The sequence below is a fragment of the Homo sapiens genome, chromosome 16 (genome assembly GCF_000001405.40).
Source record: "Homo sapiens chromosome 16, GRCh38.p14 Primary Assembly".
Lineage (NCBI taxonomy): Eukaryota > Metazoa > Chordata > Mammalia > Primates > Hominidae > Homo > Homo sapiens.
Window position 1 is genome coordinate 802,501 of NC_000016.10, and position 18,766 is coordinate 821,266.

Below are 18,766 nucleotides of genomic sequence, written 5' to 3' on the forward strand. Positions count from 1 at the left end.
TAAGGTCCCTGAGGGTGCCTGAGCTCTGTCCAACACGGCCAGTGCCCCCAGTGAATCAGGACACAGGTTGGAGTGTGGTGTGGGCCACCAGGACAGGTGAGACGGGCCGTGGGGTCACGTCCTGGAGTGAGCACTGCCCTGTGGTCCGGGCAGGTCCTGCCAGTCCTCAGCATCTCAGCAGAGAAGTGGCTGTGTGTACCTGCATGGTGGACCCGGCCTGCCTACCTGAGCAGGGTCTGGGTGACCCCCAAGGCCAAGGGCAGGAGGAGGTTGAGGGAAGTGGGGGCAGGGCCAGGGCAAGCTGAGGGTTTTGGGTCTGCTGCAGGCCCATGTCCCAGGCATGTGATGTGGGTCCCGTCTCTCACCCCACTTCTGTGGCGTTTCTGGTCGCTGGGGGGGCACCAGTCAGCCTCGGTGTCGTGTGGACCCCCAGAATCAGAAGCAGGTCCTGTGCTGACCTGGGTGGGTGCAGTAACCTCTGCTCCCGTGTGAGGGGCTGTGAGGTCCCATCCTCAGTAAGACGGGGGTCTTGAAGACTGACTTCGACCTTCCTACCAAGGCTGCACTCGGAAACCCCCAAACACATCCGGGCGCTGACGCCTTGAGCTGGAGTCAGCCTCGGGTCTGGAATCTGCCTCCCCCGGCCCTACAGCTGGACCCGGCTTCAGCGATTCTCATTGGGAGGAATGGCAGCCAGTCCCCCAACGGAGTGACCACAGCCTCCCGAGGCCAGGGGCTCCTTTCTGAAATTAGGCCACTAATTGGGCCGCTGGCTGAGAACACGCAGGGCTCTTTCCGCTGCCCTAGAAATAGCTGTCCCTGGCCCGAGGGGCTCTTGACCCACCAGGCGTGGGGCTGTGCCGCTGGGCCTGGCTTGGGGCAGGAGCATCGAGACCTCCCATTTACAGCCAACCAAGACCGTGGGGGAAGCACAGGAGGCCGGAGGCCCTTCACGCTGACTTTAGGGCTTGGTACCACACTGGCATAGGGGGCTCTGATCCCTTCCTAGCGGGAAGCTGCAGCAGGGTCTCCCGGGACTGGCCTCTCGCTGCGGCCTCAACTCCGAATGGGTGGGGGAGACAGCCCCCGACACCAGTCAACTCTCCGGGGAACAGAGGGATAAAGTGCTGAGCTGGGGACCAAGGACCAGTCCCATCCTCCACCCGCCTGTGCCCTAGGCTCTGCAGAGGGCTCTGGCTGTCCTAGGGGGACCCTGTGGCCTGCAGGACCCAAGCAGCCCGGGGGTGGTGGGTGAATGTGTGTGGAGGACACGCTGACTTCCCTCAGTCCCTGCAAACAAAACTGCAAGCGTGGGGCCTGGGGAAATAACGAAGGCAGCTCCTCACCAAAGAAACTCACTCCGCCTAGTTAACTGGAGCTCACGGCAACGACTTTTCTGTCATCTGTGAAAGTTTCAAAGTGATTTTCAAAAACAATTGAAGCTCTTAAACCCAAGCACAGAAAACACAACGGAAAACTTCAAGGGATGGGGTGGGGGGAGGGGGGAGGGATAGCATTAGGGGATATACCTGATGTTAAAAGACGAGTAAATGGGTGCAGCACACCAACATGGCACATGTATACATATGTAACAAAGCTGCACGTTGTGCACATGTACCCTAAAACTTAAAGTATAATAAAAAAAAAAAACAACTTCAAGGGAGTCCCGGGTGCGTGGCTGTCATCCACACCTGACCTCCATTGTGTAGTCAGGGGCCTGCTGGGGGCTTGGCCGTAGCCACGCTCGCGCTGCAGCCTCGGGGTAGCGTGCCTGCCTTAGCTCGGTTTACTCTGAACAGCTGCAGGTCAGTGCGTGGTTACAGTCGCCGGAGGTTTCCTACTTAAGAGACGCCCGTCTCCTGAAAAGCTAGGTATGTCTTTGCTAACCAGAAGCATGGCCTGAGGCAGGAGGTCCTGGAAGGACAGAAGCAGGCTGGGCGGTGGATCCCCACAGGCTCGGACGCCCTAGCTCCTGGCCTGAGGACTGGAGGTCAGTGTGTCACCAGGAGCAATGCCAGCTGGGCTCCCGGGGATGGGGTGCTGCCCCCATTCGGAACTTGAGTGTGTTTAAGGGGAACCGACGGGCAAAATAACAGCCTGCTGGGTTCAGAGGCCCCCACTGCCGGCTCCACCAAATTACGCTCTTCCAAGAGTACCAGCTCAGAAGTCGCAGATTTTCCAAAAGAGAGACACATTTGCTCAGCCGAGGGTGGTGGGAGGCCTTGAGGCGAGACCTTTCCAAGGTCTGTGGGGGAAGGGAAGGGAGAGTGAGTCGCGCCTTCTGCCCCAGGCCACCCTCCGGTGTGTCGTGGTCCCTGGGGCGGCTTTCCTAGGAGCCCGTGATCCGCAGGGTGGTGGCCAGAGCCGTGCAGCAGCCTGACAGGGCTTCTGGCTTTGGGAGAGTCCCTGCCCACACAGACGGACACTTGCTTTGGGATGACTAGGCTGGGTGCAGTGGCTCACACCTGTCATTCCAGCACTTTGGGAAGCTGAGGCTAGAGGATCCCTTGAGCCTGGAAGGTGGAGGCTGCAGTGAACTGTGATCATGCCACAGCTCACAACAGGGAGACCTTGTCTCAAAAAAAAAAAGGGATGACAAAGGTCCCGTGATTTTGCCTAAGGACACCTAGAAGTTAAGACGGTGTGTTCTGGCCTCTGGCTGTCCCCACGGCTTCATTCAAACATCCCGGGCTGGGTGGCCACCACTGTAAGTGCATCAGGGCCCAAGGACCCGCCTGTACCTCTAACCACAGGACATGCTGTGAATCCAGGTTGGCCTCTAAGACCCTGGATGGGTCACGCCACAGCCCATCAGGGATCCTGGGACCCCCAGTGCAGGGGATGGCCCTGCTGCTGCTTCCGGGGCTAGGGAAACCACAGAATGTCCAGTCTTCCAAATCTGATTGGCAAATGGGTTTGGCAGAGCCTAGCCAGATGCTAGGATGGCCCGAACTGACCAGAAGCCCCCGTGCAGAGGTGGCTGCTGGGGACAGCCAGGTCACCCCAACACGGGTGGGGCAGCTGCACACCCCACTTACCACCCCATGGGTCACAGGCCTCGAACGTGCATCCTGCTACGTGGAGACCAGACCACAGGTGGCCAAGCTCCGTCTCGGGAAATAAGCCTGGGGCCCTGGGCGGCCGGCACTCACTTCCTGGCTATCTCTACCACCCCATGGGGCAGGAAGACACCCGCCTGCATTTCTGAGCTCCCAACCAGCTCAGGAACAGCGCAGCCGCTCGCAAATGCAGTGTGCGAGGTACAGACCGTTCCAGGGCCTGGCCTGCGCCCACAGGGAACTCCTGCCATGCGGGCCCCTTCTCACAAGGGGACACCGCCCACCCCCAACCCCTGGGGCCCAGAGCAGCCCCAGAACAGACACAAGCATCCCAAAAAGGGGGTCACTGGGGTAGATGCACACATCTGGGGACCCTGTGTGTCATCCCAAGTGGGCCATAGCCCTGGGCATCTGGTCTTAGGTCCCAGGGCTTTGCCAGCAGAAGCCTCCAGGTGTGCAGGGTCTGTGCTAGAGGCCTCCAACCGGCCACCATGGGCTGTCCACCCGTGTGGCAGCACCCGGGTCCCTGCAGCGCCTGAGACTCCTCGCACTCAGTGGACAGCAGAGCGCCCCTGAGCAGCCTCGGTATCTGCAGATGCACAAGGCTGGCTGGGGCAGAAGCAGGGGAGGGAGGGGCTCTGAGGAAGGCGCCTGCGTCCCCACAGATCAATCACTTGATGTTTGACATGACCTGCAAACGTTTTATTTGCAAAATACAGAGAGTAGACGACAGGAAGTAGCGGCTTACACCTGTAATCCCAGCACTTATGGAGGCCAAGGCGGGAGGATCCCTTGAGCTCAGGAGTTGGAGACCAGCCTGGACAACAAAGTGAGACCCTGTCTCTACAAAAAAATACAAAAATTAGCTGGGTGTGGTGGTGCGCACCTGTGGTCCCAGCTATTGGAGAGGCTGAGGTGGGAGGATTGCTTGAGCCTGGGAGGTGGAAGCTGCAGTGAGCTGAGATAATGTCACTGCACTCCAGCCTGGGCAACAGAGTGAGACTCTGTCTCAAAAAAAGTTGAGGCCGGGCATGGTGGCTCACATATGTAATCCCAGCACTTTGGGAGGCCAAAGTGGGCAGACCACCTGGCCAACATGGTGGAAACCTGTCTCTACTAAAAATACAAAAATTAGCCAGGGGTGGTGGCCTGCGCGCCTGTAGTCCCAGTTACTCGGGAGGCTGAGGCAGGAGAATCACTTGAACCCAGGAGGTGGAGGTTGCAGTGAGCCGAGATCATGCCATTGCACTCCAGCCTGGGCAACAGAGGGAGACTCCATCTCAAAAAAAAAAAAAAAAAAAAAAAAAAAATGTTTGGGCCGGGGGCGGTGGCTCACGCCTGCAATCTCAGCACTTTGGGAGGCGGAGGCAGGCGGATCACGAGGTCAGGAGGTTGAGACCATCCTGGCCAACACGGTGAAACCCTGTCTCTACTAAAAAAAATATACAAAAAAATTAGCCAGGTGTGGTGGCGGGCGCCTCTAGTCCCAGGTACTCGGGAGGCTGAGGCAGGAGAATGGCGAGAACCCGGGAGGCGGAGCTTGCAGTGAGCCGTGATCGCGCCGCTACACTCCAGCTTGGGTGACAGAGCGAGACTCCGTCTCAAAAAACAAAACAAAACAAAACAAAACAAAAACAAGTTTGGAGCCACGCGGCCACAAGCCTCTTAAGGACGCCTGGAGCTCCCAGAGCCCCCAGGAGCTCAAAGAGGCAGGAAGGGTCCTCCCTATAGCCTCTGGAGGGATCGTGGCCCCCATTACCTTTTCAAAATGTCACCTCTCCCCGCGGTGTGACCCTCGAAAGCTAGACGTGCCCAGGAGGCAGCAGCCCAGGCCCCGCACCTTCCCTCCCGCTCCCTCTGGCCGCCGGGCCTCAGCCAGCGCTGCTCCCTGACCCGCCTGTGCCCTCGCCAGGGCCCCTCGCCGCCGCCTCCTGCCGCCTCCCGATATGGCCAAACACCCGGGCGCGAGCCCCGCGTGCAGGCGCCGGGCCTGGGCCCCTGTGGCCGTCCCGCCAGCGGCCGTCTTCTGTCCCTGCATTTAGAGAAGGGGGATGGCAAAGGGACCCGCCAGCGGATCCCTCTTACAGGTGGGGAAACTGAGGTAAGACGGTCAGGGCTGGCCCCAGGGCGTGGCGGGCCCTCGGGGCAGTCGCCCAGACCACCCGGACGGCCCCGCTCGCAGCCTTCGCCCGCCCCGGCCAACTTTTCAACCGACCGTCGCGCGCCGTTTACTTCCGCCTTGGGAGATAATTTCCGGGTCCCGGCAGGAAAGGGTCAGCCGCGCACGGTGGCCGCCCGCGTGACGTCAGCGCTCGTCGCAGCCATCTTGGCTCCTGGCAGCGGCTGCCCAGGCCTCGGTCGTGGGCTGGGCGGCCATGTTGGAGTCGGGCAGGGCTCTCATATCCGGTCACTCTCCACTGGCGATGATCGATTGCATTTGACGGACGCGACGCTGGTCGAGAGTCGCTCGCGTTGCTCGACGTTTTCTGCAACTCCAGGACCGTAAAATATCTCGAAGACGGCGAAAGTCGCAGACCCCTGCAGAATCAGATGATCCAGAAGGATGCCCGCTGTCTTTTTGGTCCATTTCAGTTGTAAACCAAGAAGTAGCCGGGACAGGCCTCGGTGGGCTTCGGAGCGTGGCTCGGCAAGGTCGAGGTCGCGCCTGGGGGGACAGGTCGATGCCTTTCTCCAGAGATGGTTTTGAGGCCTCCGTATTTAAAGGGGGAAAGCGGGCTGCGGGGTAAGGAAGGCTCCGGTCCTGTTTCTGAGCCCACGGTGGGAAGAGAAAAGGAGGGGCGGGGGGTGGGGGGCTGGGGTCGCCGATGATGCGTCCGCAAGATGAGGGCAATGGAGAGTGAGATCTGACCTCGCGTCTGTAGTTACCTGCCCAACAACACAGGGAGAGGCAGTAACTTGACCGGCTCCGTCTTCGGCTTCGTTCTGTCCTTTTGGCAGCCTGAATTGGGGTCCTGAGCTTTTACTTTCACACCGTCCTCCACAGTTTCCTAAATGGGATCTGGAATGCTTCTTCCCTGGCACGCCTGTGAGATCTGAGGCAGAAGCCAGTGTACAGAAACAGGTGTCGCATCAGTAGGCATTCTCCAGAGGCCGACCAATATATTGGAGAGACGGATTAATAGACGGATGATAGTGGGTTTGTCAGGGGAATTGGCCCATGCGGTTAGGGAGGCCGAGAAGTCCCGGGAGGGATGCCATCTGCAAGCCGGAGACCTGGGATGCTGGCAGCCTGGCTCGGTCCAAGTCAGGAAACGGAAGAACCAGGGGAGCTAAAGGTGTGACTCAGGCCAGGGCTGAAAGCTGAGAATCCAAGGAGCCGCTGGTGTTAAGTCCTGGAGTCCCAAGGCTGGGGGCCCTGTCCAAGGGCAGGAGGAGGAAGAGAGAGTCCCAGCGCCAGGAACAAGAGCAGAACTTCTTTTCCCTCTTTTTTTTTTTTTTTTTGACAGAGTCTCGCTCTGTCTCCTAGGCTAGAGACAGAATGCAGTGCAGTGGCACGACCTCAGCTCACTGCAGCGTTCACCTCCCAGGTTCAAGCGAGTCTCCTGCCTCAGTCTGCAGAGTAGCTGGGACTACAGGTGCATGCCACCATGCCTGGCAATTTGTTTTGTATTTTTTAGGAGAGATGGGGTATCACCATGGCCAGGCTAGTCGCGAACTCCTGACCTCAAGTGATCCGCCTGCCTCAGCCTCCCAAAGTGCTGGGATTACAGGCGTGGACCATCGTGCCCAGCCCCTTTTTGTTCTATCTGGGCCCCCAGGCGATTGATGGTATCCGCCCCCATGGAGGGTCTTCCCCTTGGTCCCCCGACCCCCAGGCAGGCTCCTCTGGAAACCCCCTCGCAGACACACCCAGAAGCAGCGCCTTATGAGGTCTCTAGGGATCCCTTCACCCAGCCAAGTAGGTGCTTGAGATGACCCACGGCAGGTCGGACATCTCCCTCCTCGTCCACTAGGACAGTGTCTGATTTGCCCTCTTTCCCTCCCTGCATAAGCTGATCCAGAGAATTGTCACAAGACAGAGTTACAAATTTAGTTTAAAGATCCTCGTGGGCTCCATTCGTGATGCTAGATTCGGGCAACCGCTTGGCTCTACAGAGAGCAGGGAGTGCCCCGGGGGGCTGAACAGAGGAGGCTGGTTTTCTAGACGGAAGGGCTGAGGAAAGCGGAAACAGAAAACACGGATCGCTCACTTCGAAGCTGCTTTTCTTGTAAGGGTGAAAGCAGAAGAGAACTCCTTATTGTACCGGCAAGGATCAGCCTGTTTGGGGATTTGGCTGTTATTACTCTCCTGGTTTCTCAGAAGTTCAGATAAACAACTTAGCTTCAGTTTGGTGACATGGAACTTTTTTTTTTTTTGTTGTTGAGATGAAGTCTCGCTCTGTCGCCCAGGCTGGAGTGCAGCGGCGTGATCTCGGGTCACTGCAAACTCCGCCTCTCCGGGTTCAAGCGATTCTCCTGCCTGAGCCTCCCAAGTGTCTGAGATTACAAGCACGTGCCACAACGCCTTGCTGATTTTTGTATTTTCAGTAGAGATGAGGGTTTGCCATGTTGGCCAGGCTGGTCTCGAACTCCTGACCTCAAGTGATCCTCCCGCCTCGGCCTCCCAAAATGCTGGGATTACAGGCGTGAGCCACCGCACCTGGCCACCAATGGCTTCCTATAGATTTCATTTAACAGAAGGAAGGGAGGGGAGAGGGAGGCTGTGGTAGAGGCTGGGGGATTTGAGGAGAGGCTGCAGAGGTTGCTGTGGGTGAGGAACGGGTCCCCTCTGGTTCCCTGAGGAGGGCTGGGAGATGCAGTGAGGTCTTTCTGATGCAATTTTCTATAAAAATGCCGCCCAAATCTGGACCCCATGGTACCTGGGCTTTGAGGGTTAGCAGAGCCTTTCATGATGTCCCAGATGGATCTTGCAGAGACCTCAGTAGAGACGGTGCAGCGGGGAGGGTGTGGGACAGGTCTGGGTGACTTGGGACATGGAGCCAACAGGATAGGGTGTTCCTGGCGGCTTCTCCCAAACAGGCCACATCAGGATGTCCCAGGGAAGTAGCACAAACCCAAACTCCGTGTGCGCCCTTGGCCCGGAACCTCTGGGTTCTGGAGCAGGCTCGGATCTATGGAGGGTTTGCCTTTGGAGCTTCCCCGGGACGTCCAGTGGGCTCTGGGCTGCCCCGGGCTGCTCTGCCCAAAAGGAGGCTCCCACACTGAGCAGCCAGTGGCTAGAGCACTGCCCTGTGGGGAGGCAGACCTGGTTCTCCGGACACTTGATGTGGACGGGGACCGGCTGGCCTCTCCCTCAGCAGGGAGGAGGTGTGGCATGGAGGGACGGCTGTCCACACGGCTGTGTTTGGCTTGGGCTCCTGGCTGGCTCTGCCACTTATTAGGTGGCTGGCATGGGTGAGTGGCCCAGCCTCTCTGAGGTCTGCTCGTTAGAGGACGGGGAGGACAGTGCTGCCCAGGGCTTTTGGGAGGGTTGACTGCAGCGCTGTGTAAAGTGTTTGCACAGTGCCCGCCAGGGGTAAGGTGGGCATCATGAAAAATAATAGAGGCTGGGGGCGGTGGCTCACGCCTGTAATCCCAGCACTTTGGGAGGCTGAGAAGGGAGGATTGCTTGAGCTCAGGAGTTCAAGGCCTGCCTGGGCAACATAGCAAAACACTATCTCTCAAAAAAAAAAAAAAAAAAAATTGGCGTGGTGGCTCACACCTGTCGTCCGGGCTACTCAGGAGGCTGAGGCAGGAGGATCTCCTGAGCCCAGGAGTTTGAGGCTGCAGTGAGCTGATTCCAGCCTGGGACACAGAGCGAGGCCTTGTCTCTAAACAAACCAAAAAACATGAATACTGGGGTATGCAAAGCGCTTAGTCATAGGTGAACTTAAATGGAAACTATTAATTGAAATCAGGGCTTTGGCCAGGCGCTGTGGCTCACACCTGTAATCCCAGCACTCTGGGAGGCTGAGGCGGGTGGATTGCTTGAGTCCAGGAGTTTGAGACCAGCCTAGGCAACATGACGAAACTCTGTCTCTACCGAAAATACAAAAATTAGCCAGTCTCTTAACCCAGTCTCAAAAAAAAAAAAAAATTAAAAAGTTAAAAAAAAATTGGAGGTTACGTGGTTCTGGATGGGATTTTTTCTGTTGCCTAGAAATTGTATCTAAGGCTTAAATGTGAAAATAGAAAGTGCAAAGTACTCCCATGACCGAGGGTGGGACGTAGCCTCAGAATGCTGGGGTCTGATACCTGCCCAGTCCCATGCGAGAGGCTGAGGCTGGCGCTGGCGAGACTCAGTGGCTGGTGGGGGCTCAAGCTCTGTGGTGAGAATTCTCACCATGGTCTTCAGTTACCCCTAGAGATGCCTGCAATGGTGTGGGCTGAGTCCCACTCCCCAGACGGGGAGGTGGAGGACCTCAGACAGCCACTGTACCCACAAGAGCAGGACAAGGAGAATGGAGTGAGCTGGCAGGGCTGGGGGTGGGGGCACCCCCGCACCTCAGGAGCAGGCGGGCAGGCTGCTAGTCTGAGAAGAGGCCACGGTCTTGCTGCTCGCAGGTGTGGGGGGTGAACATCTCAGACTTGAGACGCTCTTGTGAAGACCCAGTTCAGGGCTGGAGCACGTCGTAAGGTTGGTCAGAGACAATCCTCAAAATCCTCTGCCTGGGACCCCCGACCCCCACTCCACGAGGGCAGGTGCAGGAAAGAACAACCAAATATATTCCAGCATCGGAGGACATGCAGGCTGCACACAAGCGGTCAGCCCACAGAGCAGCACGTCGGGGGTTGCAGCCAAGGAATAACGTGAAGGGGGTCTTGAAAGAGCTGTGTTTACAGTTCCCAAGGAGATAAATGAGGGAAGAACAACAAAGAAGCAAGAACAGGGAAACATGCAAAAAGAACAAGGAGCCACCTTCACATGAAAAAACATAATTGTGGCCGGGCACAGTGGCTCACGCCTATAGTCCCAGCACTTGGGGAAGCTGAGGCGGGCAGATCACCTGAGGTTGGGAGTTTGAGACCAGCCTGACCAACATGGAGAAACCCTGTCTCTACTAAAAGTACAAAATCAGCTGGGCGTGGTGGTGCACGCCTGTAATCCCAGCTACTCGGGAGGCTGAGGCAGGAGAATCGCTTGAATCCAGGAGGCGGAGGTTGCAGTGAGCTGAGATCGCGCCACTGCACTCCGGCCTGGGCGACAGAGCGGGACTCTATCTCAAAAAAAAAAAAAAAAAACAGTAACATAATTGTAGAAATAAAACCTCACCGATGAGTTGAATGACAGTTGAGTCCCCGCTCTGGAGTGAAGGAGTGAGCCCTGACAGAACCAGGGAGGTTACCCCCGACAGGGAGGAACAGTCCCTCACTTGATCAGGTGCGGGCTCCTCAAGGTTGATTTGTTTGCTTTTCTGTGCGTAAACATTTGGCTTCATAAGACATAGAATAAAACCATGTCATTTCTCATCCTACTAAAAACCAGTCTACCAAAAAATGCCACCATGAACCTTTTCACACCTGTAACTTTATATACGTGTGTGTGTGTACATATCATATATATCTCATACGGGGCTGAGGGCTCAGGCACTGCCCCTTGGTGCAGCCGTGGGTGGGGGGCCTCAAGGACTGTGTGGGAGTCCCCGGGGTCTGTGAGGCCCGCAGGAGGCAAGGAGAGGCCGAGACCCCCAGGGAGCGCCCAGGCCTGAACCCCTCCTGCGCCGCTGACCCTGCAGATGCTGCCGTGGGCGGCGACCGCACAGACATCCCCTCTGCTATTGCTGCGGGACCGGCAAGGACGCCGGACCGACACGGCCTCCCCATCCCTGGGTCCACCCCGACTCCCATGGTGGGGAGCGGCCGGCTTGGAGCCCCTGTGGGACGGAGTGGAGGTGGAGCAAGTGCCCGGAGCTCTCGGCCATCATGTGCGAATGTTTTGCTCCGTGCTGACGCCTCCCTCGGCACCGTCCTGTCTGTGTTGTGGACTGGGCAGCTCTCACGGGGTTGGGCGCTTCTGCCCCCGGGGGACGCTGGCCGGCATCTGGAGACGTCTGTGATCTCCGCTGGTGTTGCCGCAGGCATCTGGCTGGTGGAGCCCGGGGAGGCCGCCCAGGACCCTGCGACCCGCAGGACCGCCCCGCCGCGGAGGACGGCCAGCCCCGAACCCCCAGCGCCCGGGGCACCCCTGCCTGCCTGCCCTGGGCGGATCCCCGGGGCCGCGCGGTTCGGGCCGCGCTCCTGCCCGCTGGGGTCTCCCGCCGTCCTCGCCGTCACCACCGGGTGGAGCCACAGGTCCGTGTGATCGTCCCCGTGACCCCGGGTTCCGGAAGGATCCTCACCCAACGCTGGCCCAGCCCGGCTCCCAGGACCCTTCACAATCCTAAAACCATTCGGGCTTTTGTTTACGTGGGCGGCCGCTGTGGACATTCACTCTACCAGAAACAGAGCATTTAAAAATGTTCACCTTTTCACGTAAAAATAGCAATAAATCCATTGCACGTGAACATAGCATTTTAAGGAAAAGCAACTGTTTCCCCATAAAAAAAAAATGTAGTGGGAAGAAAAAGAAGGCGTGACTTTGTGCTGGATTCTCATGTCTGCGTCTGCTTGCAAGCCGGTGGCCTCCGGAACATTCCGCCCCACACTTTCAGGAGAGTGGGAAGGAGGCCGGGCGCAGCGGCTCAGGCCTGTAATCCCAGCACCTGGGGAGGCCGAGGTGGGCTGATCACCTCAGGGCGGGAGTTTGAGACCACCCTGGGCAACATGGTGAAACCCCATGTCTACTAAAATGCAAAAATGTAGCCAGGCGTGGTGGCGGACGCCTGTAATCCGAGCTACTCCGGAGGCTGAGGCACCAGAATCACTTGAGCCCTGGAGGTGGAGGTTGCATGGAGCCGAGACTATGCCATATGCCATCGCACTCCAGCCTGGGCAACAGAGCGAGACACAGTCTCAAAAAAAAAATAATAAGAATGGGAAGGAAACCGTTCTTAGAAGTGTCAGGAAAACAGGTTTGACCTCGGGGACCCTGGAAGCTTTCTGGGTCCCCTTTGAGAAGCATGGTCTGGACACAGCCGCCAGATGCCTGTTGTGGGGTCTTTACCAACGTTGCTTTGCTTCATTCATTCAGAGATGGAGTCTTGCTCTGTTGCCCAGGCTGGAGTACAGTGTGGCACAATCTCGGCTCACTGCAACCTTCGCCTCCCGGGTTCAAGCGATTCTCCTGCCTCAGCCTCCCGAGTAGCTGGGATTACAGGCGTCCGGCACCACGCCGGGCTAATTTTTTGTATCTGTAGTAGAGATGGGGTTTCACCATGTTGGCCAGGCTGGTCTTGAATTCCTGATCTCAAGTGATCCACCTGCCTTGGCCTCCCAGAGTGCTGGGATTACAGGCGTGAGCCACCATGCCTGGCCATGCTTTGCTGCTTTTAAATCTTTTTGTTGAAGACGAGGATCAGACATATGTTATTACAGTTTTCAGAGTAGAAACCAGCTTGAGAAAATCCTATTTATAACCACAGTCACTCTGGGAGGTGAGACTCCTCAGTCCAGAGTCACTGAGGTCCGAATTGTTGGGGAATTACTCACAGAAACCCCAGAAGCAGCTGAGGAGAAGTGGGGCCGAGATGGGGGCCCGCGAGTACAGCCAGGCTGTGCAGAAACTCGGAGTGTGGCACGTGGGCTGCTGGGGCTCAGCCAGGCCCGTCTCTTCTCTTTTGAGGTTGGTGGAAATGCTGGGCTGATGTCATTATGGGTGAATCGTGCTACCTTAAAAAGTTTTTTTTGAGACAAAGTCTTGCTCTGTCACCCAGGCTGGAGTGCAGTGGTGTGATCTCGGCTCACTGCAACCTCTGCCTCCTGGGTTCAAGCAATTCTTCTGCCTCAGCCTCCCGAGTAGCTGGGATTACAGGCGCCTGCCAGCACGCTCGCCTAATTTTTGTATTTTTAGTAGAGATGGGGTTTCACCATGTTGGCCAGACTGGTATTGAACTCCTGACCTCAAGTAATCCATCTGCCTCAGCCTCTGGAAGTGCTGGGATTACAGGTGTGAGTCACCACACCCAGCCAAAAAATGTATTTTTTTGAGACAGGGCCTCCCTTAGTCACCCAGGCCAGAGTGCACTGGCGCCATCCTAGCTCACTGCAGCCTTGACCTCTCCTGGGCTCTAGTGATCCTCCTGCCCCAGTCTCCTGAGACCACAGGTGGGTACCACCGTGCCTGGCTAATTTTTTAATGTTTTTTTTTTTTTTTTTTGATAGAGACGAGGGCTCAGTATGTTGCCTAGGGTGGTCTTAAACTTCTGGTCTCAAGCGATCCTCCTGCCTTGGCCTCGCAAAGTGCTGGGATGACAGGAATCTTAGTACTTTAAACAAATAACAGGTTTTCTTTTGGGCAGCTGTGGGTTTTCTGAAACACTGAGGAGACAGAGCCGAGCCCCCATCTGTGCCCTCCCCGCAGGGTCCCGTGGAGGTGACACCCCACACTGGCGTGAACCAGGATCGACGCAGTTTACCGGAGTCCTCGGCCTTCACCGAGGGGCCTTTCCCCATCCTGGGACAGTTCCCGTCTGGCTGCCTGAGCACCCCTGGGCTGTGAACCCCCCTGGGCTGTGGCCATTTCTTGGACTTCCCTTGGTTTTGGTGGTCTGGGCGGTTTTGAGGAGGAAGGTCGGGATTTCCTAGAAGGTCCCTCAACCGGGGCTTACCATACTTTTCTCGAGGCTAGAAGGGACCTGTCACCTTCCCTGTAGGCACCCGTGTCCCTCCCCTGGCACTGGGAGGAGGTGAGGGGAACCCCAGAGAAGAGGTCACGTAGGGTCAGGCCTGGAAGCCAACAAGGCACGGGGCCAGGGGAGGCCTGGTGCCCTTGGGAGGTGCAGGGGTCCCGGGAGAGAGCTGAGCACCAGGAGGGGTGCAGAAGGCTGCCCCCTCCACACCTGCTGTGCCCCATTTGTTGTGGGTGGGGGCAGGGGTCTACCCAGCGGGAACACGTGGGGCAGCCCCCCTCCCCTGGCCTGGGGCCTCCTCAGCAGGGAGCAGAGGCTGTGCTTTCTTTTTTTTTTTTTTTTTTTTTTGAGACGGAGTCTCGCTCTGTCACCCAGGCTGGAGTGCAGTGGTGCGATCTCCTCTCACTGCAAGCTCCGCCTCCCAGGTTCACGCCATTCTCCTGCCTCAGCCTCCCGAGTAGCTGGGACTACAGGCGCCCACCACCACGCCCGGCTAATTTTTTGTATATTTATTAGAGATGAGGTTTCACCGTGTCAGCCAGGATGGTCTCAGTCTCCTGACCTCGTGATCCTCCCGCCTCGGGCTCCCATAGTGCTGGGATTACAGGCGTGAGCCACAGGGCCCGGCCCGAGGCTCTGCTTTCGTGGGGGGCTCTGGGTCTCTGGTGGCTGGACTCGGCGGAGGGTCCAGGTGTCCTCTTGGCTTCTCTGCACAGGCCTCAGCCCACATCAGGCACCCCCTGCCCCGCAGCAGAGCTCGCCCCTCCAGGCAGTCTCACGGGAATGCACGTTCAGGCCGCCTTTCCCCGGAACCCGCAGCGGCCTTTCTGGAGGCTGCTTCTTGGTGACTGGGGGCTCCTTGGAGCCGTCCCCAGCCTCAAGCGGCTGCATTGCAGCTCAGGGACCCCGAAGGGAGGACCACGTTCTGCCGCTGAAGACTCGGAGTCGCCTGGCAAGACGGAGCGAGAAGGGGAGGGTGGCTGGCATGGGGACTCTGTCTGCTGCCTCGCACCGCACCTTGGAGGACGCTCCGGCCAAGGCTGGGAGGGGCGAGTGCGGCTGCAGGCGCGCGGTGGCGAGGGAGGGTGAGGATCTGACCGGGAGGCGAGGAGGGAGGCTCTGGCAAGACGCAACGCTTTGGCGCCACTGCCGGCCATCCCCTTGCCACCCACCATCGCCCGCCAGGCCCTCACACCTACCTGGTCCTGGCGACAGCCGGTGTGTGAAAAGCCTGTTTCCTCCCCTAGAAAAAGCACGTTTGGCTCCGCTCTCCACTGACACGTTTTTAGCTGAGTGACGATGGAAGCCGCTGGCTTTTAACAGACGGTCTTAACGAGCCTCTGCTCCCCGGCGACCAGCAGACGCGGGCTGACCCACGGTTTTACACACCACGTCTGCGTGGCGGCGGCCGGGCGGCCCCACGGGGCCCGGGCAGGAGGTGACGGCAGCGTTTCTCGCCGCCTTTGCTCAGCGCGCCTCTCATCCCCTCTCTCCTGTCGACTCGCGGCTTCCTGCAGACCCTCGGCCTGTCTGCGGCCCCTCGCCCGCAGCCTCCCCAGCAGCCGAGGTTTCCTATAGCATTAAAAGCAGGAAAGAACCAGCCCTGCTCCCCAGGAACTGAACTTCTGTGGCTCATCTTCAGAGAAGCCACTGTTGAGTGGGGCTCCTCGGGGGTGCTCCAGCTGCGGGTGAGTGACATGAGCCAGACCTCCCCGTTTTTTTTTTTTTTTTTTTTTTTTGAGACTGTTTCGCTTTTTTATCCCAGGCTGGAGTGCAGTGGCGTGATCTCGGCTCACTGCAACCTCTGCCTCCCGAGTTCAAGTGATTCTCCTGCCTCAGCCTCCTGAGTGGCTGGGACTACAGGCGCCTGCCCCACACCCGGCTAATTTTGTATTTTAAGTGGAGATGGGGTTTCACCATGCTGCCCAGGCTAGTCTCAAACTCCTGAGCTCATGCCCTCCTTGGCCTCCCAAAGTGCTAGGATTATAGGTGTGAGCCACTGCCCCCGGACTGAGACTTTCCCATCTTAACGCCCACTTGCCCCGTCCTTCCGCCCCCACGGTGCCTGGGGGAGCCTTCTCTGTGCAGGACACAGGCCAAAGCAGAAGGAGGCAGGAGGAAGGAAAGCAAGGCAGTCCTTGCTGACTGGGCACCCACGAGCCTGCTGTGTCTGAATGCTGGCTCACCTAGAGTTGGGGGGCTCAGGGACAGGACTAATTCTGGAACCAGACTGCCTGGGTTCACACTCTGGTGGTGTTACCTTCTGCCTACGTGGTTTTAACCTCTCTGTGCTCTGGTTTCATCAGTTGTGAATTGGGGCTAATGGTTCCTACCTAACAGGTGTGAGGATTAGATAAATGGATACATGGAGAGGGCAAGTGGTCAGTGCCATGTAAGTGTCAGCCAAAGATGATGGTGACAATGGTGGTGAAGACTGTAGTGATGGTGATGATGACGGTGAACTGTAGTGATGGTGATGATGATGGTGAAGACTGTAGTGATGGTGATGATGGTGAAGACTGTAGTGATGATGGTGAAGACTAGTGATGGTGATGATGGTGAAGACTAGTGATGGTGATGATGGTGAAGACTGTAGTGATGGTGATGATGATGGTGAAGACTATAGTGATGGTGATGATGGTAGTAAAGACTGTAGTGATGGTGGTGATGATGATGGCCCTCACCATCTTGGCTGTACCACGTCCAGTTTGCTGTCAGGACACAGCCTGAGGATGCCAGACCTCCATGTTGCAGAACCACCTGACTTTTACTATGGAATACACGTGGACTGTGAAGTAATAATATTCCTTTTCACCTCCCTAGAGTCATTTCCATTAAATCAGAAAATAGGCGTTGAGAAAGGGATGTACTAGTGGGTCCCACTTAAAAAAGAGCAAGTTGAGTGTGAACTCAAGCAACAAAGCTCAACTTAGAGGATTCCTGTTAAGTCATGGAAGGGCTCACCGTTGGGTCCTCCCTGGTGGCCCCAGTGCATGTTGAACCTCTGGGTCCTGTGCTTTCTAAGCCCAAGTCTCTTTCAGGGAGTTAAGAACACTTGTGCCTATTTTTGGGGAAGGAATTTATTCATTATTCCAGGTGTCAGGTGTAAGACATTACGACAATTTATCAGATGCTCAGAGCACAAGCTCTGTTTCACTGAAAGAGTGAACCCAGGAGATGCTGGAGTGGGGGGTGGAGAAGGGGTGGAGTGACGGTAGGCGCGATGCTTATCTGACGTGTGTGTGTTGTCGGCACTGCGGGGCCCTCAGGAAACGATCAGCGGAGTGGTTTCCCTCTGAGCATGTCCTTGTGGCCTGCGTTTATTTAGCACAGCCTGAGCTGGGGGCTGCTGGCCTGGCCTGGGGAGGCCCTCTGGGCTCTGTTGGTGGCTTCCCAGAGTGAGGACCCATTTCAGCTCCTCCCCTCACTCCACACCGTGGAGCCTACATTCCCCTCCTGGTTCCTGCCTCATTGGGTTTTGGAAACATCCTCACTTGGGAGACTGAGGGGCTCCTAGAAGATCTGCTGGGGCCTGATCTTAGAGGAAAAGCGGATCTGCGTCCATAGGACGGGGTCGCAGCACGGAGCAACGGGCCCGGTGTGTTGTGGTTGAGGGCCTCGAAGGGGAGCGAGATTCATGACCCGAAACCACGCCACATTGGCATCAGGAGTATTGTGAGCTGCAGGCAACTGAGATCAACAGAGGCAGAAAAACGGCTTCTCAGAGCTTCTCTTCTGACTAAAACCAGCAACTCCTGGGACCTGAGGCTGCTACAAATTCCTTCTTCACGGTGATTCCGTTCCCAGAGGGGAGAATTGGAATAAAACATGCCCCAAATCTCTGCTTGGGGGGACCAAGACAGAAACACCGCTTATGCCTGTATTATCATAAACTAACTTCCTTCCTTCCTTCCTTCCTTCCTTTTTTAGACAGAGTCTCGCTCTGTTGCCCAGGCTAGAGTGCAGAGGCGCGATCTCAGCTCACTGAAACCTCCGCCTCCTGGGTCAAGTGATTCTCCTGCCTCAGCCCCCCGAGTAGCTGGGATTACAGGTGCGCACCACCATGCCTGGCTAATTTTTTTTTTTTTTGAGATGGAGTCTCACTCTGTCACCGGGCTGGAGTGCAGTGGCGTGATCTCAGCTCACTGCAACCTCCGCCTCCTGGGTTCAAGCAATTCTCCTGCCTTAGCCCCCCGAGTAGCTGGGATTACAGGCACGTGTGCCACCATGCCTGGCTAATTTTTGTATTTTTAGTAGAGAGGGGGTTTCACGATGTTGGTCCGGCTGGTCTTGAACTCCTGACCTCGTGATCTGCCTGCCTTGGCCTCCCAAAGTGCTGGGGTGACAGGCATGAGCCACCGCGCCCAGCTGCCCAGCAAATTTTTGTATTTTTAGTAGAGATGGGGTTTTGCCGTGTTGGTCGCTAGGCTGGTCTCAAACTCCAACCTTAGGTGAACTGCCCTCCTCAGCCTCTCAAAGTGTTGGGATTACAGGCGTGAGGCGCCCAGACAAACTTTTTCCATTGTCCTTCTAAAAGCCCTTTTGTCTTTTTTGAAGAAACCTATTTGTTCTTCCCCTCAGAAGCCTTTTCTGCTGCCCCCTTCCCTGACCTAGTGAGGATACAAGGCAGTGGTTTCCACGTTGCTGAACCACCCACTTCTTTTGTTCGCTGCCGCGTGCTTGTCAATCAAGTTTTTCATCCTATGGATCCGTCTTTTGTCAGTTTAATTTGCAGGCCCCAGTCGCAGAATTTAAGAGGACAGAAGAATGGTCTTTTGTTCCCAACAGCCTCCTTCACCACCACAACCCCACTGGCTGCCTCACCTTACGTGTGACACGCTCGTCGAACTTGCCAGCAAACCCGGGAGGTGAGGATTGCGTGTGATGCCCAGGCAGACACAGTGGCTTTTCATGAGAACAAAGCGTTATCACCTTGTGCAGGTGGCTGAGAGAAGAGGCCCTGGGAGGCAGGGGAGGGCC

At 57.0% G+C, this 18,766-nt stretch overlaps 6 annotated features.

The window, feature by feature from the left end:
* Positions 390-934: an enhancer, noted in NCBI's record as "H3K4me1 hESC enhancer chr16:852890-853434 (GRCh37/hg19 assembly coordinates)". NCBI's record gives its function as "activates a minimal SCP1, AML or CMV promoter by ChIP-STARR-seq in primed H9 embryonic stem cells {active_cell/tissue: H9 hESC(primed)}" and the evidence as "EXISTENCE:reporter gene assay evidence [ECO:0000049][PMID:30033119]".
* Positions 1,479-2,022: an enhancer, noted in NCBI's record as "H3K4me1 hESC enhancer chr16:853979-854522 (GRCh37/hg19 assembly coordinates)". NCBI's record gives its function as "activates a minimal SCP1, AML or CMV promoter by ChIP-STARR-seq in naive H9 embryonic stem cells {active_cell/tissue: H9 hESC(naive)}" and the evidence as "EXISTENCE:reporter gene assay evidence [ECO:0000049][PMID:30033119]".
* Positions 5,048-5,257: a silencer, noted in NCBI's record as "silent region_6960". NCBI's record gives its function as "represses an Ori minimal core promoter by ATAC-STARR-seq in GM12878 lymphoblastoid cells {active_cell/tissue: GM12878}" and the evidence as "EXISTENCE:reporter gene assay evidence [ECO:0000049][PMID:35858748]".
* Positions 5,338-5,567: an enhancer, noted in NCBI's record as "active region_10215". NCBI's record gives its function as "activates an Ori minimal core promoter by ATAC-STARR-seq in GM12878 lymphoblastoid cells {active_cell/tissue: GM12878}" and the evidence as "EXISTENCE:reporter gene assay evidence [ECO:0000049][PMID:35858748]".
* Positions 11,222-11,301: a silencer, noted in NCBI's record as "silent region_6961". NCBI's record gives its function as "represses an Ori minimal core promoter by ATAC-STARR-seq in GM12878 lymphoblastoid cells {active_cell/tissue: GM12878}" and the evidence as "EXISTENCE:reporter gene assay evidence [ECO:0000049][PMID:35858748]".
* Positions 14,640-15,140: an enhancer, noted in NCBI's record as "H3K27ac-H3K4me1 hESC enhancer chr16:867140-867640 (GRCh37/hg19 assembly coordinates)". NCBI's record gives its function as "activates a minimal SCP1, AML or CMV promoter by ChIP-STARR-seq in naive H9 embryonic stem cells {active_cell/tissue: H9 hESC(naive)}" and the evidence as "EXISTENCE:reporter gene assay evidence [ECO:0000049][PMID:30033119]".